The sequence below is a fragment of the Homo sapiens genome, chromosome 5, assembly GCF_000001405.40.
Source record: "Homo sapiens chromosome 5, GRCh38.p14 Primary Assembly".
NCBI classification, from domain to species: domain Eukaryota; kingdom Metazoa; phylum Chordata; class Mammalia; order Primates; family Hominidae; genus Homo; species Homo sapiens.
The window spans coordinates 1,481,102-1,503,568 of record NC_000005.10 but is presented as its reverse complement, the minus strand read 5'-3'; the positions used below and the strand labels follow the sequence as shown (position 1 = coordinate 1,503,568).

At 56.5% G+C, this 22,467-nt stretch overlaps 1 protein-coding gene and 1 long non-coding RNA gene across 6 annotated transcripts in view, besides 4 other annotated features; one reads left to right on the top strand and one right to left on the bottom strand.

The window, feature by feature from the left end:
- LPCAT1 (lysophosphatidylcholine acyltransferase 1) overlaps nucleotides 1–22,467 on the top strand; it is a 62,534-nt gene that overhangs the window by 20,392 nt on the left and 19,675 nt on the right. For 3 of the 5 annotated variants that reach the window (NM_024830.5, XM_005248373.4, XM_047417763.1), the window contains 5 exons: nucleotides 1,966–2,108; nucleotides 8,655–8,869; nucleotides 13,711–13,823; nucleotides 15,118–15,178; nucleotides 20,083–20,141. In NM_024830.5, the coding sequence (NP_079106.3) occupies nucleotides 1,966–2,108; nucleotides 8,655–8,869; nucleotides 13,711–13,823; nucleotides 15,118–15,178; nucleotides 20,083–20,141 (591 nt within the window). Of the gene's footprint in view, nucleotides 1–1,368; nucleotides 1,805–1,965; nucleotides 2,109–8,654; nucleotides 8,870–13,710; nucleotides 13,824–15,117; nucleotides 15,179–20,082; nucleotides 20,142–22,467 lie in introns of those variants that run through there. The other 2 variants (XM_011514134.2, XM_011514132.2) reach the window with 2 other exon arrangements.
- Nucleotides 646–1,536: an enhancer, noted in NCBI's record as "H3K27ac-H3K4me1 hESC enhancer chr5:1502148-1503038 (GRCh37/hg19 assembly coordinates)". NCBI's record gives its function as "activates a minimal SCP1, AML or CMV promoter by ChIP-STARR-seq in naive H9 embryonic stem cells {active_cell/tissue: H9 hESC(naive)}" and the evidence as "EXISTENCE:reporter gene assay evidence [ECO:0000049][PMID:30033119]".
- Nucleotides 1,537–2,427: an enhancer, noted in NCBI's record as "H3K27ac-H3K4me1 hESC enhancer chr5:1501257-1502147 (GRCh37/hg19 assembly coordinates)". NCBI's record gives its function as "activates a minimal SCP1, AML or CMV promoter by ChIP-STARR-seq in naive H9 embryonic stem cells {active_cell/tissue: H9 hESC(naive)}" and the evidence as "EXISTENCE:reporter gene assay evidence [ECO:0000049][PMID:30033119]".
- Nucleotides 2,428–3,319: an enhancer, noted in NCBI's record as "H3K4me1 hESC enhancer chr5:1500365-1501256 (GRCh37/hg19 assembly coordinates)". NCBI's record gives its function as "activates a minimal SCP1, AML or CMV promoter by ChIP-STARR-seq in naive H9 embryonic stem cells {active_cell/tissue: H9 hESC(naive)}" and the evidence as "EXISTENCE:reporter gene assay evidence [ECO:0000049][PMID:30033119]".
- On the bottom strand, nucleotides 8,050–14,038 carry LOC124901162 (uncharacterized). The gene is made up of 2 exons (XR_007059103.1): nucleotides 10,896–14,038; nucleotides 8,050–10,097 (listed from the first exon to the last, which is right to left on the bottom strand). It is a non-coding gene; the product is annotated as an uncharacterized LOC124901162 (long non-coding RNA).
- Nucleotides 8,433–9,632: an enhancer, noted in NCBI's record as "BRD4-independent group 4 enhancer chr5:1494052-1495251 (GRCh37/hg19 assembly coordinates)". NCBI's record gives its function as "activates an origin of replication core promoter dependent on BRD2, P300/CBP, MED14 and CDK7 cofactors, and independent of BRD4, by STARR-seq in HCT116 cells {active_cell/tissue: HCT116}" and the evidence as "EXISTENCE:reporter gene assay evidence [ECO:0000049][PMID:35650434]".

The window sequence follows — 22,467 nt, the reverse complement described above, 5'->3', positions numbered from 1 at the left end:
CAGACCTAGCAATTCCTTTTAAAAAACAATCCTAACAGGGAGCTGCACAGCGCTGAAGCTAGCTTTCAGTATTAGAGAGACCGTGGCCGTAAGGCATCATGTTAGTGGCTTCAAGTGGGGTGCAGCACGTGGCTCTCCCCACAGATGCAGGAAGCACCTCTGATAAAGCTCAGCACCCGTTCATGATTTAAAGCAAAACAAAACTCGTGGAGGATGAGGCCTGGGAAGGTTTCTCAGCAGTAAAGAACGTTTGCTGAATGCCAGTAACACGATGTGGAACAGTGACGATCGTCACCAATGGCGGGATAACAGATTTGTGGTTGCTTGGTGCAGCGAGTGTGATGCTGAAGCGGGGACCCAGCTGGGGTGAGGAGCAGCCCCCAGAAGCGGGGAAGGGGAGGCAAATTAGAGGTCGTCATCTCTCGCAAACCAAACATCATCTAGATCTGCGTACCCAACAGGCTGACCTGACCACTGGGCACTGACAGGGTGGAGACACAGGTGGCATAAAGCTGTGAGAGTGAAATGCACACTGCACAATCCAAGACAGCGGGAGAAAATGCAAACTAGCCAGTAGCAACTTCTACGTTGAGTACGTGTCGAAATGGTATTTCAGATATACCGGGCGAAATGAGCTGTATATTAAATTGTCATTCCCTTTAAATGTGGCCACTCGAAAATTTAAAATGACACATGTGGCAGGCATGTTTCTCTTGGGCTATGCTGGTCTCCGTTGAGAACTCAAAAGAATCTAGGGACAAACCAAGGAAACAGAGTGGGAGCGCTCTCATGACAGGCATCAGAAATTAGGGATGGCTGCTGCTTGGGGAGCCAACTGCGATCTGTGTCTCCTGGGTCTTTTCTGTCTCTGCACTAAACCTGCACCTCAGGACTGGTGTTTCCCCTCACCCAAAGCCTCCCGCCCCTCTACACGGAGTCCTGCCCGCCTCCCGGAGGGACCTCCATCCTCAGACCCTGGGCTGCCTGGGATCCCGCAGCCTCGGCCTTCCCTGGCGTGGGGGCCTGCCCTGGCTTGGGGGGCCTTCCTGAGCCCCCATATTGACCTGCGCCCCTGCCCTCCCGCCAGTTCACTCTCCTGCGCCGGGTCTTCCATTGACTGGAAAGTCACACCTTCATTCTGCCGTCTTCTCTGTGGTCTGAGGTCCAACCTTGCAAACTGCAGGCCAGCTACCTCCCCCTGTCACCAACACTGCCTAGGGTGGCGTATGCTTTCTCATGTCCACATAAACGATTTCAGGGGAAACTGCTGAGTGAGGCCTGCGGGGCTGGGGGTGTGTCCTGGGGGGCGGAGCTGCCTGGGGGTGCGTCCTGCGGGGTGGAGCTGCCTGGGGTTGTGTGCTGTGCGTCAGAGTGGCCCTTGAATTTGCAGGAGGAAGCTCCACTGTGTCTTTCCCAAGCCACTCGCATGGCAGCTCCAGTAAGGAGGCAGGAAGCGGGCAGTGGGTGTGGAGCATGTCAGTTAGCACTGGCCAGTGTCCACAGCCATGGTGAGGGCTGGTCGGCATCAGCACCGGTCAGCCTTGGTCAGTGCCGGTCAATGTTGGTCAGCCTTGGTCAGTGCCAGTCAGTGTTGGTCAGCCTTGGTCAGTGCCGGTCAGCCTTGGTCAGTGTCGGTCAGTGTTGGTCAGCCTTGGTCAGCACCGGTCAGCCTTGGTCAGTGCCGGTCAATGTTGGTCAGCCTTGGTCAGTGCCGGTCAGCCTTGGTCAGTGCTGGTCAGTGTTGGTTAGCCTTGGTCAGCGCCGGTCAGCACTGGTCAGCCTCGGTCAGCCTTGGTCAGCCTCGGTCAGTGCTGGTCAGCCTTGGTCAGCTGTGTGCCAGCTGCAGCCCCTCCCCAGCTCTCCACTCTGTGGGGCGCGCTGTCCCCCTGGGCTAGCCTCTGCCGGGTGGGGAGCTGCCTGGTGTCCTACATGGATTCTCTGGATAATGCCCCCCTCTGTCTGCAGGTGGCCCTCATGACACTGACGCTCTTCCCGGTCCGGCTCCTGGTTGCCGCTGCCATGATGCTGCTGGCCTGGCCCCTCGCACTTGTCGCATCCCTGGGCTCTGCGGAGAAGGAACCCGAGCAGCCCCCGGCCCTGTGGAGGAAGTAAGTTGCGCGTGTGCCGTGCTCTCCTCCTGGGGGGGGGTCACGCGGCCAAACAGTGGGAACCCATTCTCACAGTGGGGTTGTGTGTCTCCACCCTAGCCCATCTGTCCTTCCCTTCTGAGCCCAGCGTCCACCAGGGCTGCCCCCTGCCAGTGGGGACTCGGCCACCTCCCCGTTGCCTCTGTCTTCCACGCCTCCGCCACAGTCCTGCTCTGAGGCTTCATTTTCCAGGGGTCTGCAGGATGTGTGGCCATTGTTTCACACCCTTGAGCACAGAGACCCCCCTACACCGTAGCCTTCTCTGCTCCAGAACCTGCTGGGGCTCCCTGTTGCTGACGAAAGTCAGGCTTCTGGACACCCTCTCCTGGCTTTGTGACTGCCAGCCCCCTTACCCCTCCCACCTCAGACCCTCAGCTCTGGCCCTGCCCATGGTGGCCTCCCCCAGACCCTCAGGCTGTGAGTGGACGGCCTCTTGGGCTGCAGTGACAGGGCACCACAGTGACACAGGCCTCCTGCCTAGGGAGGTCCCTGCCTCAGTGGCCCCCATGCAGAGGCAGCTGGACCTGGTGCGGGTGCCGTGGGCCCGGGAGGGGCCATCTTCCAGGTGTGAGAGCAGCAGCAATGAGGGGAACGGCTGCTCGGGGGGCAGGTGGCCACCATGGCATCTCCTGCCAACCTGGTCTTATTAAAATTGGGCTAAGTGGGAACAGGTTGCCGCATCATAAAGGCCCAGTGACTTGACATCAAAATCCCCATTTCTGGCCAGTCTTGGAAAAGCAGAAGCTCCGGCCAGTGGGCCTGCTCCCCAGGGCCAGCAACTGGCTGGAGCCAGGCCCAGCCCTGCCTTCGGACAGGAGGCTCGGGTCCTTCCCCGCCCTCCGAGACTGCATGTCAGCCAACGTTGGCCTGGCCTGCTGCCTGCTGGCACCACCCCTCCAGGGCCGTCTTTCCCTTGCTTTGTGGACCTAAACTCTTCCTGGCTTTTAAGCACGGAATATAAATAAAGCACACCTACCCGATGAGGAATACATCTAAACTAAAGATCCAAAACAGACCACAAAAAATTAAACTAAATCACAATATTTTCTTGTTTCATTTAAATTCCTAAAGCTGTGCTTTCACTGAAAGTATCTGCCATTAGCAAATGAAAATGTTGAGATATCATAAATACTTTGATAAATATTTTCAGTATCTTAAAAGTTACCACGCGTGTCCTATAACCACAGCTCTGACAACCCTTCCATGTGTTGTTAACATCTCTCATCATTCTGGAGGGGCTCCCTGAATCTTTTATTCAGAAACAGGAATATTAGTAGTTAATTGGAGGCTGCTGCCTGACTATAAGTAAAGTTTTACTGGAGCACGGGCACGCCCGCTGGCCTGCGTGATGTTCAGGGCTGCATTGGTGGGGAACCGGGCCAAGTGGTTGGGACAGAGGCCGTGTGGCTGTAGAGCCTAAAGCATTCACTGCCTGGCCTCCGAAAGGTGTAATGGGCACGCCCAGGCCCCTCCTTTCTCTGGAAGGTGTCTGATCTGTGGGCTGTATGTACAGCAAAGTTTTCACGGCCAAGAGGCTGATGGGAGCTGACATCTGCCTGAGCTTCGGTTCTCCTTGATACCCAGGGCCACACTCAGACATGCAGTTAGGTGCAGGGGGAAGACGGCCACTTAGGGTCCCGGGTTTGCCGCACCGTTGCGTGCAGACATGGTGCAGTCATAGGAGAGGGCAGCCTGGGCGTTGGGGGTCCCTCACTCTGGGCCCTGCTGAGTGGGTGGACGTTGAGCAGCTTGCTGGGTAGTGGTGACCTGGGGCAGCCTGGGTTCTTTAGGGGCAACAGGATCATCACGGGCTTTAGTTCTTCATTTAGCCTTTCTAGATTTTTAAAATTCTCTTATGCTTTATCTTGGTTTGTTTTTGAAACGTTTTAACCATAAAATAGGAATTGGGTATCAAATATATAACCAAGCAAAGTAAATCAAGGCCAAATCAAAGTCAGGCTTTCAGTTTTGCTGAGTTGAGAAGCCACAGCTAGAAAGTGGGGGTTCTGTAGTGTGAAGCAGGCTGCAGGTGACCTGGCTGAATGTGGTGCTGTGGGCAGCAATGGCTTCGTGGTGCTTTCCTGGCACCCTTTCTCTTTACTCCCCATGTCCTTGTTGGGCCGAGCTCCCCGCCTCCTCTGTTCTGTCTCAGGAGGCAGGAGCCCCGTGCGAGCACAGGCTCTCACTTTTCAAAATAGATGGCTTGGGGCAATTTTCCGTTTCCCCATGCTAACCCTGGTGGCTTTTCTTGTCTGTGAATAATTGACTTGGCTTCAACAGGCGATAAATGGACCACAACGGACTCTTATTCTAGCAGCTGTACTTCAGAGACGCTTTCATATGTACATCTCATGCACGTGTGAAGTGTCCCGTGACAGTGACACGTTGGGGTTTCTGTCACCTCTGCTTCATGAGATCTTTGGGCATCTGGGTCTGTGGAGACTCACTGTGTATCATTCTGTGTATGTGTGCAGAGAGGGTGTGTATGTGTGTACATATGCGCATGTGAGTGTGCATACATATGTATGTGCATGCACGGGAGTAGGTACACGTGCATAGGCATGTGGTTGCATTACTGTGTGTATGTGAGCCACCAGTGCAAGTATGTATATGAGTGTGTACATGTGTATATGTGTGTGCTGTGTACCTGTGTGTGTTGCATGTGTGTACATGTGAGTGCATGTATATATGTGTGGATGGATGTCTGTATCGTGTGCACATACATGTACGTGTATGACAGTATGTACATGTGTATGAGTGTTGTGTCTCTGTGTACATGTATGTGTGTATATGTGCAAGTGTACGTGTGTACAGGTGTCCACATATGTATGATGTATGTACATATGTGTATGAGAGTATATGTGTGTACATATGTATGAGTGTGTGTGTGCATGTGAGTATATATGAGAGCGATGTCTGTGTATGTGTGTGAATGTGTGCATGTGTGGGAGTATGCACGGATGCTTGTGGGCACTCAAGCTGCCCGTGCTGCCTGGCATTGAATCCCACCCCTGGAGCCCCTGGCGTCTCCTTCAGCAGCACTGATGAAAGCTCCCTTGGTGCACAGTCCTGGGCTTGGCTTGGTGCTTGAAGGGAAACAGAAGAGAGAACAAACCCTGAATTCTGAACTCCCCAAGGGGAAACCTAGTCACAAAAGCACCGTAGTTAGGGACGTAAGGGATCAGGAGGAAACTGAATTTGAAGTAGCAGATTCAGAGTGTACCGCTGAATAATAATTACGTAGTCGGTTTGGGACTTAAGTTGGCTCACGTTATGCACTGCTCTGCAGTTTTGAATAGATTGATGTTGAGTTAAAGCATTTTTGCTGAATGTAAGTTAGTGTCATTCAAACCTTCCTAAAATAAAAATCTTAGGCTTTCAGTGAAAGAATGACACAGTTTCGCAAAAGGCACTATTTTAGGTTACTTTCAACACACACAGTGTTGTAAAAACCGTAGCATCGTTTTGCAAAACCCGACCATCTGGCGCTGAATCCTTGACCACGGGCCAAGTCCTGAGCTGGGCCAGGTCCTCCAGGGGCTGCCCCTTGGCTGACCGGATGGTTCAGATGGATGGTGCCCTTTCCTGAATGCTCTGTGTGGGAACACCTGTTCCCAAGTTTGGGGATGCCATCCCCATGATGACTCTAGGTACTCCCCGTATGTTGGCCTGGAGGTTGGAGCTTGAACTTGAGCATCAAACCACTTTATCTGGTCTCCCAGAAGCCAGCAGCTCCTGCCACCTGCGTCTCAGCCTGGGGCTGCCCCTCCACACCTGCCAGCCCAACACAGCCCTCCCACCAGCCACCCAGGGGCCGTCCCTGACCCAGCTAAGCCAGTCCACGTGGATCACCAGACTTGCCTCCTTGAAGCCCCGCCAGACGTGGCCCCAGGGCCCCTTCCTTTGCCCTACCCCACCGGCCTGGCACCGTAGCCAGCACTCAGGCTGTGTACATGTGTATAGGTCCTCTCCAGGGCCGGCTCCACTCTGCCTCTTGCCTCTGCTCACAGCAGAACATTTGGAACCTGCAGAGCCGGGGCCTGCGCCTGCCCCTCACGCTTAGACGTGTGGGCTTCCCCCACCCACCTCCACATGCCAGCTGGCTTGAGGAGATGCAGGCCTCAGCGGCCTTCCTCCTTTTCCCCCTGCATGTTCTGGGAGATTTCCTCCTCCTCATTTCCCAGTCTTTCCTGTGAGTTGCTTGTCTCCACAGTGACAGTCTTGGTTTCTGAGAGTGTTTTCTTGTTCTTTGATGCTCCTCAGCGCCCTGTTCTTCCAGACTCTCTTGGCGAGCGTGGTGGATGTTTTGCACCCCTCTTCTGATGCCCACCCTTTCTGTCTCCTTGGGGTCAGTCCTCTGCTTCTCTGCCATGCAGCTGCTCTGCTCACACGTCTCAGGATTCTTGGGTGTCGTCCGTGTGAGGGCGGTAGGACGGAGTGGATTTCCTGGGGGTGCTGATGGAGATCCCCGCTCCTGTGTATGCAGATAGATCTGTCTCCTGATTCACATTCCCCTGGGAATGGGCTGCCCAGGCACCTGAGCACCCTGGGCTTGTGCTGGCTCCCTTTGCCTTGGGGTGAGTGGGTGCTGGGTCCCCAACCCCACAGCAAGCGGAGCTTTTCTCTGAGGCTGTCATCCACACCAGCAGTCCGGGTTTTCACATGTGGATAGTTTGGGTATAAAATTCCTCCAAGATCTTTAGAGAAGAGCTGAGGCTGCTTTTTCCCTGCCCCGACACCCAGTACAGTTCCCCTGAGCACCGTCTGTCCCTGCAATTCGATTTCGGGGCTGGCAGGTGTGTTCCTCTAAGGGCCGCCCGGGTTTTAATCCCTTTTTTCCTGCTGTCCTCTCTCCTGCCCCTGAACCTGCCCGAGACTGGCTCCTGTGCCCGCCGCAGCCTCCTCTGCAGCCTCGCTTCTCCCTCCGCCGCTGCCTTGTTTCTTCCATCTTAGGCATCAATTGCTGTCTTTTGGCTTTTGTTTTTGTACTTTTTTTTTTTTTTTGTGGAAAATAACATGTGCACAGAAGAGTACATCTTTATTTTTTAGTTTAGTTTTCTTGAGATGGAGTCTCACTCTGTTGCCCAGGCTGGAGTGCAGTGGCGCAATCTCGGCTCACTGCAACCTCCGCCCCTTGGGTTCAAGCAGTTCTCCTGCCTCAGCCTCCTGAGTGGCTGGGATTACAGACGCCTGCCACCATGCCCAGCTAATTTTTGTATTTTTAGTAGAGACAGGGTTTCACCATGTTGGCCAGGCTGGTCTTGAGCTCCTGACCTCAAGTGATCCACCTGCCTTGGCCTCCCAAAGTGCTGTGATTACAGGCGTGAGCCACCATGCCTGGCCAGAAAAGTACATTTTTAAATATGCAGCTGAACAGGTGGTGAAGAAGTGCACACCTGTGTAATCCCCCCTCCTCTAGACAAGCAGCACCCTGGGTTGGTCCCCAGCATCTCCATGTGTAACTACACCATTGTTTATCATCGCATACACAAAGGCCATTCCAAGGTGGCCCCACGAGAGGAGGCTTTGTGCCCTCCTAGCAACCGCCTTGGCTCAGATCCATGGGGACCCCTGTCCTGGAAGTCTTCTGGGAGGATCATCTGTCCCAGGGCAATGTGAATCCAGTAAGGCTTCAGGCTCTTGTTTCTCTGTGCAGTAGTTTTACCCAGTGTGATGCGCCCACTTAACCCAGTGGCCGAGTGAGCCGTGGCTTCTCATGAGGCTGAATCATGTTCTCTGTGTGCCTGACCTGTGGCTTCTCACACACCGTGGCTGTCTGCTGCGTGTCAATTCCCTGAGGTGTGGAATAACAGCCTAATCTGTAGCCTCATATGAAAGAGAATACACACATTTAAAAGGCTAAATTTGTACCTATTTTAAAAAGAGATAAAGAGTACACAAATTCAGTTAACCTAGGCTGATTTTTACTTTATTTTCCAAATTTATTGGCCATCTAATTTCCTCCAGAAACAGCTCACTGTAATAACACAACGCCTGGTTGTGGGAACCCCGGGCTTCCTGTGGAGATGAGATGGGGAAGTTCGCACGCAGGTCTCAGCTTCCGCCCTCAGCTCTGAGCGCCCCCCCCCCCATATTGCGATATGCGTTTTAGGTGTTTTAATGTTTTTCCCATTTCAAAATGATAGGATGCTGATAAATAAGTTGCTAACATGAAGGTCCGGAGGTCTTCTGGCCTGGGACTTGTGCTGTCTGTGTTCCGGAGTCTCATGTTGTCTTAGCACTGCCTGCCGCGTGGCCCGTGACCACCACACAGGGCCCCGCGGCCTCCTTCGTAGGTGAGAGCGCAGCCAGCGAGGACACAGGCGGAGGCCAGGAAGGCGCGGCGTCTTTTCTTCCCTCAAGCAGATGTCCCAGCGGCGGCGACCACAGGAAGCCCGTGGCCTGGACTGCGCCCTGGAGGGCTCTCCCGTGGGACCGCCCCTGTGCCTCACACAGACTCCGAGACTGCGGACGTGTGCCCGCGTGACGCAGCGCCCTCTTTTGCAGGGTTGTGGACTTCCTGCTGAAGGCCATCATGCGCACCATGTGGTTCGCCGGCGGCTTCCACCGGGTGGCCGTGAAGGGGCGGCAGGCGCTGCCCACCGAGGCGGCCATCCTCACGCTCGCGCCTCACTCGTCCTACTTCGACGCCATCCCTGTGACCATGACGATGTCCTCCATCGTGATGAAGGCAGAGAGCAGAGACATCCCGATCTGGGGAAGTGAGTGAGACACCCCTGCTGGGAGTGAGGGACCCTGCCCTGCTGGGAGTGAGAGATCCCCCTGCTGCTGAGAATAAGAGATTCCCCTCCTGCTGGGAGTGAGGGTCCCCCCTCTGTTGGGAATGAGTGAGACCCCCTCTGTTGCTGGCAATGAGGGACTCCCTGCTGGTTTTTAGGGACCCCCCCTTCTGGGAATGAGAGATCCCTCCCTGCTAGGAATGAGGGACCCCCACTTGCTGGAAATGAGTGAGACCCTCCCTACCGGGAGTGAGGGACCCCCCCCCCACCACGCTGCTGGGAGTGATCGAGCCCCCACCGCCGGGCACATTGGCCTTGTGCCCCATTTTCTGTGTTGGGGTTTCCTGTGTAATTTTCGTTGTTGTAATTGTTATTTTTATTGCTACCTGAGTGCCCTCACTATCATAACAGGCTACAGTGCTTGCTCCAGGTCTGCTTGGCAAGGGTGGCTCACCTTTATCAGATGGCAGTTCTGGAAGTCTTTGGGAGCAGGTCGGCAGGGCTGCCCATGCACCGCGGCTGTGCCGTGAACCAGGGACCTGAGCACCTGGTGCTGCCATGACCCCTCCCCAAAGCCGGGGGCTCACTCCAGCAGAGATTCACCCTCTCGTCATCTGGGGACCAGATGTTCAAAATCAAGGCGTCTCTGGGCCGAAGGCCCTGTGCGGCCCCTTCCTGCCTCTTCCTCCTCTGGGGGCTGCGTCCCTCTGACTCTGCCTCAGTGGTCGACTGGCCTGGCTCCCTCCAAGTGTCTCCTCTATGAGTCTCTTATAAGGACCAGTCATTGGGTGATCCAGGATGCTCTCATCTTGAGATCCTTAACGAGTTACCTCTGTAAAAACCTTTTTCCAAATAAGGCCTCATTCACAGGTTCCAGGGTCAGCATGTGGACCCATCTTTGGGGGCCGCATCCCATGGACCCACTGCTCTGGGAGGACTGTAGGGAGCCCTGCGTGGCCCCTCACCCACCTGTGCGCAGCCCTGACCCACCAGAGCTCTGTCCTCGGTGCTCTTCAGGGCATCTGGGCCCGTTCTGTCCTCGTGCTTCCTTCACAGCCGCCATCAGCACAGCACAGCACGTTCTGGGGCACAGCGGGTCCTGGGTTGGCAGTGGGCGGTGCTGAGGGAAGGAGCTGCTGGGACGAGGGGCGTCGCCTATGGCCGGGGCCCTCACCTGGCCACTCCTGCCGGCTCTGTTTCCATGCAGCACCTAACGTTAGCATTCATATGACAGTTTTCTAGAAAATATCTGGGGGGACACATTCAGTATGGACTGGGTGGGGACACATTCTGTGGTGCTGACCACTGAGGGTGGTGGCCACAGCTGGGATAGGAAGGCTGGAAGTGGGGTGAGGAACCCTGGCATGGCCCATGGGGGATTGGGCCTGCAGCAGCCGGAAGGTGTCCAGACTGTGCCTGCAGCTGGGCAGTTGTGGGTGGCCTGAGTCTGCCTGGGTCAGGCTTGGAAATCGGGGATGGTCCTTGGTGGGACTGGAGGGCTCACTGCACTCGGCTGGCTGGGGAAGCCTGGAGGAGGCTGGACAGGCCGGCACTGGAGGCGAGACTGGACTGCAGGCACCATCCGAGTGATGGCCTTGGCTCTCACACGCAGGTTTCCCCGCTCTGCAAGCTCCACAGGCTCATGGGGCAGCCCCAGCTCCACTCAGCACCCTTTGCATCCTGTGGTTCTGGCATACCCAGGAAACCACATTTGCCCCCCCACTGTGGCAAAGGCCCATGGTCGTTCGTCATCTGCTCAGGGAGGGGGATTGTGGAGCTGTGTGCCCAGGCACCCTCGCAGCTGCAGGGGTCCTTGGACAGGGGGGCTGGCCCACCCAGAGTGAATCTGAGCGTTGGCCGGGCTCTCCCTGTGCCCTTGGTGCCTCCCTGTGGAGATCACCAACACGAAGGAGTGTTTGGTGCGGTGATGCTGGACGTTGTAGTCCTATCTTTCTAGAGGCCCGGGATTCCACCTCTTCCAGATCAACCCAGGTGACCCAGCACTGACCTTCATCTCGGCGCAGCAGGAAGAATGGCCACAGCCATGCTGCTGTGTGCAGGGCCCTCGTGGAGCCCTGCGTGTTTCTTGTCATTTCAGAGATAATCCACGGACCTGCGAGGGAGAGGATAGTGACAAGCTTATCAGAAATTTTCGTTAGAATTCAGACTTAGCAGGAACCACATTTTGCTCCCTGCTGTCCTGGCCTGAAAGGGCCATTGTCCTGGGGCGTGGCTGATGACTCCTCTACTGCGCACCTGGAGCACCCTCTGATTCGGGAGCTCAGAACCATCTCCCCAGGCTCCAGCTCAAAACCATCTCCCCAGGTCCCAGCTCAGAGACGTCTCCCCAGGCCCCAGCTCAGAGACGTCTCCCCAGGCCCCAGCTCAGAGACATCTCCCCAGGCCCCAGCTCAGAGACATCTCCCCAGGCTCCAGCTCAGAGACATCTCCCCTTGTCCCAGCTCAGAGATAATCTTCCCCCATCCCAGCTCAGAGACATCTCCCAGGTTTCCAGCTCAGAGACATCTCCCGTGGTCCCAGCTCAGAGATAATCTCCCCTGGTCCCAGCTCAGAGACATCTCCCTGGTTTCCAGCTCAGAGACATCTCCCATGGTCCCAGCTCAGAGACATCTCCCTGGTTTCCAGCTCAGAGACATCTCCCCTGGTCCCAGCTCAGAGACGTCTCCCAGGTTTCCAGCTCAGAGACATCTCCCCGGTCCCAGCTTGTGGTGACTTCTGGTTCCTTTCGTGGACCCTTTGACAGCTCACAACTTTGTTGAAGAGATGAATGTTGAAAATGTTCAAAATATTTTCATTTTTAGATGTATGAATACCAATGAAAGTGATCAACCAGGTAGATTTTTTCCTTTTCACATTCTTAGTTTCCTTTCAGTGACCTTCATATCCGCACCATCCATTTACAAACCTTGTCAAGGAAAGTTTGAGCCTCAAATGCCCAAAAGACGGCAGAACGCTGTCACCTTCTTGCTGGCAAAATGCGCCAGTCCCAGTGTGGCTGTGCACACGGCGTGGTGACACCCTTCCCTCCTCAGGGCTCCCGGGGAGGAGCTGCATCTCCTTGCTGTCCTCACTGCCCAGTTCTCAGCGTGAAAGGCACACCGGGCAACCCACATGAAGACGCACGGCCCAAGACTTCACTCAGAGTCCTCCCCCTGCACCCCCCACATTTACCCCCGGACCCATCTGAGTGTGAAACGCCCCCACGTCACTGTTCTGTTCTTTGCCGTTATAGACAACTTCTGAAATCTCTACTCTGTTCACAAAACAAACCAGCTGACAGGATTGCGAAGGTGGCAGGGTGGCATCTCCAGACCCCGTGTGCCCCGGGACGACCATGGGACGCTTTGGCCAAAACAGTGGGCACCGAAAGACCACGCAATCAGGGCCATTTCTTTGACGCGTGCGCCATCCTGCGAGACGACTCCGCCATTCTTCCCTTCCGATATCGTCCTTTTTAGCAGAGTTGGGAATAACCAATGAGCAAGGATGAAATAGTACTGGAATCGTGAAAAAGCAAAATGATTCAAGACATAGGAAAGACCACAGAGACCCAACAGACAACCACAGGATAGAAGGAATTTTCTTTTTTTGGCTTCAATTTTCTCGTTCTTGGAGGAGAGAACCTCCAAGAAAGAATAAAAGTCATGAAATGCTACTCCTTACAAGTAATAAAAACGCTAAGAAAAGAAACTGGAAACTGAACTGGGGTGGGGAGGTGGGGCTGACCTGCAGCAGCCTAGGAGCCCGTGGTGGGGTCAGAGACACCTTCAGTTGGCCTGGGGGGCGCCGAGTGTGGATCCTGCTCACCGTCCTCAAAAAGGAAGCTCCACTCAGGGATAGTTTCATTTTAAAGTCTTCAGAGTTTTCTCTTCTAAGAAGTATGTTTCCACGTTCAATCCTCTTGCATAAAGACAGGTGCCGTGGCCACGTTGCCTTGGCTGAGCACCAGCCTTCATGGCGGGGTGTCCCTTGTACCCCAACCCCGCAACTTCCAGGAGGCTGTGGGGTGCCATGGTTAAACTGGGGCTGTGCTACAAAGCACCACAAAGCTGGTGGCTTAGAACAACAGGAGCATATTCTCCCGCCGTCTAAAAGCAGAAGTGCCAGAACAAAGTGCTGGCCGCATTGGGCTCTTCTGAAAGCTCCCTCGGCCCTCCCGGCTCGTGGTGGGGGCTGTGGCCACATCCTCCTATGGCCTCCTTCATCATTGGCCTTCTCTCCCCCTCTTCGTCTCCTCTTCCCATAGGGACCCTCATCTGGGATTTTAGCTTGAGCATCTGCTTTGTCTCCTCTTCCCATAGGGACCCTCATCCGGGACCTTGAGCATCTGCTACCACCTGTTTCGAAATGAGGTCCCATTCCCGGTACCAGGAGTGAGGACTTCAGCTTGTCTTTTAGGGGATGCAGTTCAACCCACAGGGGGAAGGCGGGGTCCAATCTAGGGACCTGGCACCTTCAACCCTGTCCTCTGTGAAGACTGGGTCTAAAGACTTTCTGCTTCCTGGCGGTTGTCTTTCATTGACCTCCGTTCTGTGCTCCGTGTCCTCAGTGGGTGCCATGGACTTGCTGTTTGTTACTTGTGGCACTGAGGCTACAGGGCTTCCTGCTGTCACAGACATGGGAAGCCCGGGTGCTGTTCCCGTTCCCTCAGTCAGGGACTCACAGCCCACCCATGGCACAGCCCCTGGGGCATCTGGAGTCTCCCGCCCCACTGGGCGCCATGCAGCAGCCCCCTCGTTCCTCAGCCCTGCCTGGCGGGAGCCGTGCATTCCACGTGATCCGTCTCCCCTCCTCTCTTCCAGCTCTGATCCAGTATATACGGCCTGTGTTCGTGTCCCGGTCAGACCAGGATTCTCGCAGGAAAACAGTAGAAGAAATCAAGAGACGGGCGCAGTCCAACGGAAAGTGGCCACAGGTAATGCACGTAGCCCTGATTGTGTTTCAGTGGTTTTATTCCGAAAGATGCGAACTTCGCGAGTGGGGAGAAAGAAACTGGGGCCCTTCCTCCGGGGCTGGATTCTGATTCTCTTCTCCTAGTGAGTGCGTGAACTCAGGAGGGTGCTGTCAGGTGCATTTGGTTTCGGTGCCCGAAATTTAAAGTTAAAGTAAAGAAAAACAATTCTCAAATGCATCTCAGCTTCCTGAATCATCTTTTCTGAACTAAGTTCTGACTCAGATAGAGCATTGCTCACCCGCCCTCCTGGTGCAGTGTGATTTTGGAGTTGATGTGTCAGCCTGCTGTGTGTTGGGTGGTTCTAAAAGTCCTGGAGTAAACTTCCTGGTCTGTATGCTGGTTCCCAGGCATTCAGAAGCCCTGAACCCAGCTGTAGGGGCAGCCTGGCTGACATTAGCTTGGACGCTGTTTTTCTTCTTTCCAGCTGAGCCATCATTAGAAGCTGGAAATTTTACAGAACTGTCTGGGATCTGATTGCTCACGAAGCTTTGCAGGGTCTGGCTGGGGGCAGCCCCTTAGAGGGCTGTGACTTCCAGGGTGCCCCAGCTCTGCCCCCACAAGCACAGGCAGTCTCCTCCCCCACCCATTTGGCCTGCCTGGCCCTGGGCTTGCCAGGGTGAGCCCACGCCGGCCCCCCTGAGGTCTGTCTTCCTCACGGGGCCCAGAACTGAAAGCAGCCTGCGGGGCTGGGAGTTTGAGGGCAGTTTTTGCTACTGCAGGCCAGTGTGAGTCAGAGGAATTGAAACCCCGGTGTGGAGGGTGCTGCCTGACTGGGGCTCGGCTCTCCTGCTCATCCAGCCCGTTGCTGGGGTCCCAGCCCTCCTTCGGCTCCATCAGCCAGGCACTGCCATTTGTGGGTCTTTGCTCTCCTCCCCACCTTCTTCCTGATGAGAATGAGTGCTGCCCCCAGGAGGTGCTTATGTTGTGCCAACCGTGGGTTATATTTAGTTGCACCTGGTTCTCACAGTGTCTGAGAGGTGGGCACCGCGACTACCCTGCTTTCCAGGAGCTGTAGTTGAAGAAGACAGATGCTGTTTATGTGTTGATACTGCTGCCACACTTTAATAAAACCAGCAGAGCGGAAATCAGTGTGTGCTTCCATAATGCATTTTAATAATTTACGTACTGAATATGATCCCAGTGTCCAAATTATGTCAGCAGAAAAGAAAATATATTGTGAAGATTGGCTTCTGTAAGTTCTGAATTATAATTATGTACAGTTTAATGCTGATCCTTTTCTTTCTCCCACTTCCAGATAATGATTTTTCCAGAAGGAACTTGTACAAACAGGACCTGCCTAATTACCTTCAAACCTGGTATGTAGTTTTCTTAAATGTTTATTTTTCTCCTAGAGAAAAGGAAAATATTAAAGAGATGTTTTTTAATAATGTGCTGTGCACATAAGAACAGTTTCTGTTTTTATCCTGTGTGCTGGGGTTCTTAGAGGTATTCCTAAGAAAAGTCACAAAATAAATTTGAGAATGTGAGTCAAGGATTATCATGTTTGCAGGAAGATGGAGAAGTTACGGTTTCAGGGCGTTTCCAGTGAGGTGGAGATAGATGTTTGCCTCTGTTTTGAGGTCCAGGCTGGAGGGTCCTGGGTGCAGAAGGGGTCTCACTGCCTTTGAATGGCTCAGGGTACCCTTCTTGGCCTGCAGCTCACGCCCCACACCCGCCTGGGAATCCCAGGTGCAAATCCCTGCGAGCCATCCTCAGATGCCCAGGTCCCCAGGTCCCCAGTTAGACAGTGTTCTTTCTCCCTGGGGAGGGGGGACTCAAATGCGTGTGAACTTGGGTCTCTCCCGCGGCGGTTACCTGGGTCTAGTATTGTGTCTGCACCCCTGACGTGGGAAGTGTGGCAGTGAGCAGGCAGCAGAGTCCACTGTTCTTTTTGCGCTGAGTCTGTTTGGAATTCTGCACACCCTTGGGCGTGTCAGAGGGTCCACCTGGATCCTGTCGTCTCCCTTGGGCTACTTTAGAAAGTAGTGGCTTTCATCAACTGTGTCCATACTGGGGCATGCAGACCTGTTCTCTGTGGTTGGATCAGAGTCACGTGGAAAAGCCAGTTCCTCGCTCACACTGGCACCGGCTGCCGTGCCTCTGGGGCCGCACAACCTGAGTGTCTGGACATTTATGGGAGCTGGGTCGAGAAAGTGTGCAGTCACTCACCTACGTGTGCCGCCGGGGTTTCCGAGCCTGTGGCCATCCTCCTCCAGCTCAGATGCGCGTGCTTTCACCCTCCACCCTCCTTGGTGCAGCAGGCAGATGGCAGGTTTTGCTTCCAGAGGCTTCAAGGTGCAGCTCACTGGAAGGTACTGGGTCTTCCCGTTCCATTGTCTTCACCACGCGTGGTTCTGAGTCATTCTGATCAGAACCAGAGATGCAGAGGGTGGAGGCGGCACGCGGTGACCACGAATCCGTGTGCCCCCACCACACTGGGTCCGTGCCTGGGCGTGGCCTGTGGGCAACCTTGGTGAAGGCCAAAAGTGGGCCGTGTTTCCAAGGCCCCAGGCAGAAGACAGCTGGCAAGTACGTCAGGTCTTGTTCCTTGACAAGGTGTGGGGCTGGGGTCACTGCTGGGCCCTGTCTTCAAGGGCAGGTGTTCCTCGGGAGTGGAGCCTCGTGCCTGCAGGGAGGCCCCTGGGGAGGGCCATCGCCTTGCCCTTTGGAGCTGGCGGCCCTTGTGTAGACGTGAGGAGGGCGTGTGAGCACCTCTCAACGCATATCACGAAACTGAGGGGACTCATGGCGGTGCCCAGTAGGAGCTCACTGTGTGCAGTCCAGGAAGGGCGCTCGCTGTGCCCCAGGTGGGTTCCACGGGGTCTGGGGAGATGACACGGTGGCTTGATCCTTTCCCCGTCTCCATTTCCAGTGGGTCCAGCCATGAGTTCTGCGTGTCACCTGCAGGCCCGGGTTTCCGGCTGCCTCGAGTCACGTGTTCGGAATCTCTCAGGCCCTCATGCGTCTTAGCTGGGTACTTCTTAGTGAGGTTTGGAGCCTCCTGTTTGGAGGTGAAATTGGTGTGTGGTGCGTGATCCTGACGCCTCGTGGTGGAGCCCTCCAGAGCCGTGAGCGTCTCCCGCCTTGAGCCTGACAACAGAGGCACCCACAACCTGCCTGCTGCCTTGGGCTCCAGCTGCCCCAGCTCCATGGCGGCCCACCCACTCAGACCCTCCCTCCACCTTTCATCACATCGCCTGATGTTGGGGTCACGTTGCTGGGGTCACCCGTTTGGGCACCACTGCTGACTCCCCGCCTTCATCCCCGGAGACCTTCCCGCATTGGGCCCAGCCTCCAGCCTCAGGCTCCTGGAGCCTCCAGCAGGGTCCTCCTGGGCCCAGGTGCCTTCTTTCTCCTGAGTGTCTCTTGTCTGTGCTGCACTGTCCACCTGAGTCCCCCTGTTCTGACCCAGGCCAGGGGTGCCGCCTCTGAGGTGGGGGTGATAGAGCTCAGCAGAGCCCTGTGGGGTCTGCTGGATGTGGTGGGTTCCAGCAGGGCTGGGACCCTCAGGGCTCTGCAGGGATTGAGTTGCTCCTGAAACAGGCCCATGTGGGGCCTTCCTCTCCAGTGCCCACACTCACCCTCCTTGTCAGAGGGCACTAGAGCAGGATCGGCTGACTGGGTACCTGGAGACCCCTCCTGGAAGGTCCTGGGCCCACGCCCTCCACATGCCCACACCCCACCTGCCTGCCAGCTCCAAGCTCTCAGAGCAGAACGAAGACAGTGAGAAGGCCCTAGGATGCTGCGTGGGCCCAGCGATGGCACTGACAGCCCGAGGATGCAGAGGCGGGCCTACCAAATGTGGCTGTTGGAAGTGGACGCAGCTCTCACTGGGCCACAGTGGCCTCCCTGCACGGGCTGTGAACAGACATGGATGTGGCTGTCCCTGGCCTCCCTGCACGGGCTGTGAGCAGACATGGATGTGGCTCTCCCCGGCCTCCCTGCACGGGCTGTGAGCAAACATGGATGTGGCTGTCCCTGGGCCGCAGCGGCCTCCCTGCACAGGCTGTGAGCAGATGTGGACACGGCTCTCCCTGGGCCATGGTGGACTGTTTCTTCCTGTGGGGTGGGCTGTGGGGGATGGTCAGGGTGAATAAGGGGTGATGGCCTTCTGGGGGCCTCAGGGGTCCCTGTTGAGCCATCTTCCAGCCTCATTGTTGCAACTAGTGACGTTAGACCCATGCCCAGCACAAGCTATGTGTGAATATGGAGGTTTCTGTGCAGTTTAGAAGCCCGTACCTCCTCCCCTCTGCCTTGTTCCTGCATTCAGAAGCCCTGGGCTCTGACTGCCTCATCTTGGTTTCTCCCAGCCTGGCCCTTGTGCAGCCTGCCTTGGGTGCACAGTGCTGGCGGGGTCTGGGTGCTGCTGACCCTCAGGGGCCCCTGGGAGACTAGGGAGGCCAGAGACCCCTGCAGACTTTCCCACCGGGGTTTCCATGAAGTCACTGACCTTTCAGGCTCATGGGGGGTTTCTGTGCTCTTGGGGACTTTCCTGAGAGGTCCCCAGGGTGTTGAGGTTTCCTTTGATTCTTACTGAGTTTCAGTGATGTCCCCTTGACACATGGTCGGGATGGTCGGCTGAGCTGTAGCAGCAGAGCCATTATCACCCACAGCAGGTCTCGGCACTCCACGCGAGCTCCTGGGCTCGGTCCCAGGCAATGAGGACTATTTCCTCCACACTGCGTGTCTCAGGGGCTGGGACTCGGCTGCCGGGCGTTGGAGCTGGGGCTTGAGCCTGGGTCTGTGCCAGCCCTGCCGTCCTCCGCCTCCCCTGACACAGCCACCCGTCCACCTGGGCACACAGAAGTGCTGGGTGAACTGCATGAGCTTGCTCCCAGGTGCTGCTGAGCCCACAGCAGGAAGGGGGCAACCCAGCCCTGGACACAGGGGAAGCTGCGGCACACGGGCCCAGGGACTTGGGGTGCCAGCTGGACACCAAGGCTGCAGGTGGATGTCCTGCATGAGACGAAAGCTGAGTGGGTTGGGCGGTCAGCTCGAGGTTTCAGCCCTGACACGGGCCTCTGGCCTCAGGCCACCGTGAAGGGAGAATTGGCCCTAGGGACAGATGCTCCTGGCAGCCCTAGGGGCAAGCATGGGCTCCATTCTCCCAGAATTGTGCAGAATCCCGCAGCCAGGACCAACCGCAAATTCCTGACCACATAGTGGCACTCGCTGGCAGCCTGGGAGGAACGCGCTGCCTGGGGATTCACTCGCCTGGCCTCAGGTCGCCAGGCAGGGGAGCCCTTCTCAGACCGCCTGTCCTGTTCTAAAACTTGAGTACTTCTGATGCCTGAGTTTTCCAGTTAAAAAAAAACTCTTTCAATAGAGATTTAAATAGAATTTAAAATAGAAACAATCATCCACAGAGTCCATGGTGCCTTGCTCCAGCCCGCAAGGGCACAACTCCGGCCAGTGAGAAGGCGGAGCGGCTGCTGGGTACAGCCACAATTCCAGTGGGAACGGGGAAGTTCCTGAGCCTCTGCGGCCTGTGGCTCTAGCTGGGCCTCGCTGGGGCTCCTCCTGATTCCTTGGGAGCCCATCAGGTGGCAGCCACTCAGAGAGAGAGGCAGATCCCGGGCAAGTCCTGCTGCAGCTGTGACCAAATCCGCCCGTCCTTGGAGCTGAGCCCCAGGGGCAGGTGAGGGCGGCGGGTGGGGCCCCGAGGCAGGTGTATGTGCTTGGTGAGGGCAGACCCTAACCCCGTCAGGTGGGTGAGCATTGGCCGGTGATGAGGACCCCCACTTCCCACCAACGCCTTCCAGCTGGTGCGCGATGTTACAGCAGAAAGTGTCCCTCCACGGATGTCTTCCAGCTCGTGCGCAATGTTATAATAGCAAGTGTCCCTCCACAGACGCCTTCCAGCTGGTGCGCGATGTTACAGCAGAAAGTGTCCCTCCACGGATGTCTTCCAGCTCGTGCGCAATGTTATAATAGCAAGTGTCCCTCCACAGACGCCTTCCAGCTCGTGCGCGATGTTAAAACAGAAAGTGTTCCTTGGCCGGGGAGCGCCCCTGGCCGATGTTCCTGCCCATCCGTGCTGTGGCGCTGGGTGTTTACGGTCAGGACAGATGTTGAGATAGTCCAGGCATGGAGTGCCCTTGCTGACCAGGAAGGCCTAGACAGAAAAGCTCACTTTTATCCCAAGGGCAGCATGAGAAACGCAGCAGACGCTGTCCTGCGTGGGCTGCCATGGGCAACACCGCTGTTCCTTTCTCGGCAGGTGCATTCATCCCTGGAGCGCCCGTCCAGCCTGTGGTTTTACGATATCCAAATAAACTGGTGAGTTGTGTTTTTTTGGGGTCAGCTTCCAGGGGAATTCTCCGGGAAACGGGAACTGCGAGCTGCCTCTGTGCACCTGTGTCTCTGTCTCTCCACACCCTTTATCTGCGCCACAGCCCACACTTGGCCATGCTGAGTCCATCCGGCCTCAGCGCTGGAGAGGGCAGGACAGGCCCGGGCCCTGGGCTCGGCACGTTCCTGAGTGCGGCCTGTTCTATGCACGTGTCCCTGATCAACCCCATGATTCCACAGTGGTCCCCAGTGTTCCAGAGCCCTGCTTCCATAGCTCCTGACAAAGCTGCCCTTTCCTCTGTGTGCCAAACCTGACATTTTGGAGAGGGAACCCCTCCACCCCACATCACCGGCCAGGGCCCCCAGCAGCTTTCAGTACCCAGTTCATGCTCCAGGAAGTTTAAAAATTAAGAACATTTAAGTTCTGGAAGGCGGAGGCAGCTGGAGAGAAAGGAGGTGACTTTGTCATTTCTGTGGTTTTATCATTTAGTGCCCAGGTTTTGTTTGGTTTAAGAGAATTAAGAAGGTGTTTGGGGTCCAGAGCTCCTGGGGCGAAGGTGGTAGACCCCACCTTTGGGAGAAAGTCTGGACGAGGCCTCAGAGCAGTTCCCCATGGGGCCTTGCCACCTCTGGAGGAGGCTTAGCCTGCCCTGGCTCTGCCCCAGCCCACCACACCACACCCCACCCCACCCCACCCCAGCCTGCCCTGGCCCATCACACCCCACCCCCCTGCCCCACCCTACTCCCCCCATCCCAGCCCACCCCGGCTCTGCCCCACCCCAGCCCACCCCAGCCTGCCCTGGCTCTGCCCCACCCTACCCCACCCCACCCTGCCCTGGCTCTGCCCCACCCTACCCCACCCCACCCTGCCCTGGCTCTGCCCCACCCCACCCCACCCCAGCCCACCCCACCCCACCCCAGCCTGCCCTGGCTCTGCCCCGCCCCACCCCACCCTGACCCAGGCCCTGCTCCATCCCTGCCCCTGGCCGCAGCCCCACCCCCTGGCCCCGCCCCTGCCCATGTCCTGCCTCAGTTTCCACACCTGTAAGGTGGCTGCTGCACCTTCCTCCAGGTGCTCTTGGATGCTCAGAATACTTCCGGTTCCATCGGCCCTCCCCACTTAGGCGACCTTGCCTCACAGGCCTGCCGCCGAGCTCAGGGCATTCATTTGGTGCCAGCTGTGTTCCCCCTTCCACAGCAATGACTCCCGCACGTCCTTGCCCCTTCATGGGCTCCTGGAGCATAAAGACGGCCCAGGTGGACTCAAGGTCCCCACAGCCCACTGGTGCTGGGCTCACTGCAGGTTCCTGGTGGAGCACCCACCTGGGAGAGCACCGAGGAGGGCCTGCCCATCACAGCGAGCTTCCCGTCTATAGCAGTTCCTTTTTGTGATGGCAAAGGAAAGCACTGAAAGAAAACCCCCGTGGGTCAGGACATAGTGGGGCAGAAATACAGGTGACCTCTGGGTGCCAGGGTTCTGGGCCATCCGCCTCAGGGCCTGTCCCGTCCGATGCCTGCCGGGCTTCACTTTGCCCGGAGAGCTGACGGTCAGGTAATAAAATGGAGTCAGGGCCGGTAGTCACACGACTGAAAGACCTCTTCCTTCTTACTGAGGCGTGCGTTTGTCAGCCAGGCTCCTGGCCAAGGGCCCCTTCCTGCCTCCGCTGCGGAAACCATGCCCCAGTGCAACTCCTGTGGGCAAAAAAGTCAACCCGAGGACAACAGACTCCGATCTGTGCAGTCATCTAGATTTTCCACTTTTAAGATTGTTTCATCAGTGTGTTTAAAGCAACACACTATTACTGGATGCACCAAGAAGCACTAGCTTAGCCGTCAGGGGAGCAGAAGGTCCACCCCAGGGTGACGGTGTCTGGGCCTCTGCCGTCACGGCCCCTGCTGTGTGGTCCCTGCCCGGCGGCACTGAGGCTGAAGATGGGACTTCAGAGCACCCGGGGTGGGGGGGCCCTGCACATGCACCGTGGTTGGGGGAACACTCAGAGCAGTTGGAGAGAGCGGTGGGCAGGAGAGGGCCGGGGTCCCGGGTGCACACTGGAATTGGTGTCCCCAGGTCTGTGAGGAAAGCGGAGAGCATGGAGGGAGGGAGGACCCTTTTCCCAGGTTCTAGGGGCTCTGGGAACCTATAAGAGGGGGCTCTGAGTCCTCAGGGACTCTGGGGATCTTGGGGGAACTCTGGGGACCTGTAAGGTGGTGGTTCTCTGGGTCCTTAGAGGCTCTGGGGACCTCAGGCTGGGGGGCTGGTCCGAGTCCTGGATCCTCAGGGACTCTGGGAAGCTGGAGCTCTAGCACCCTCCTC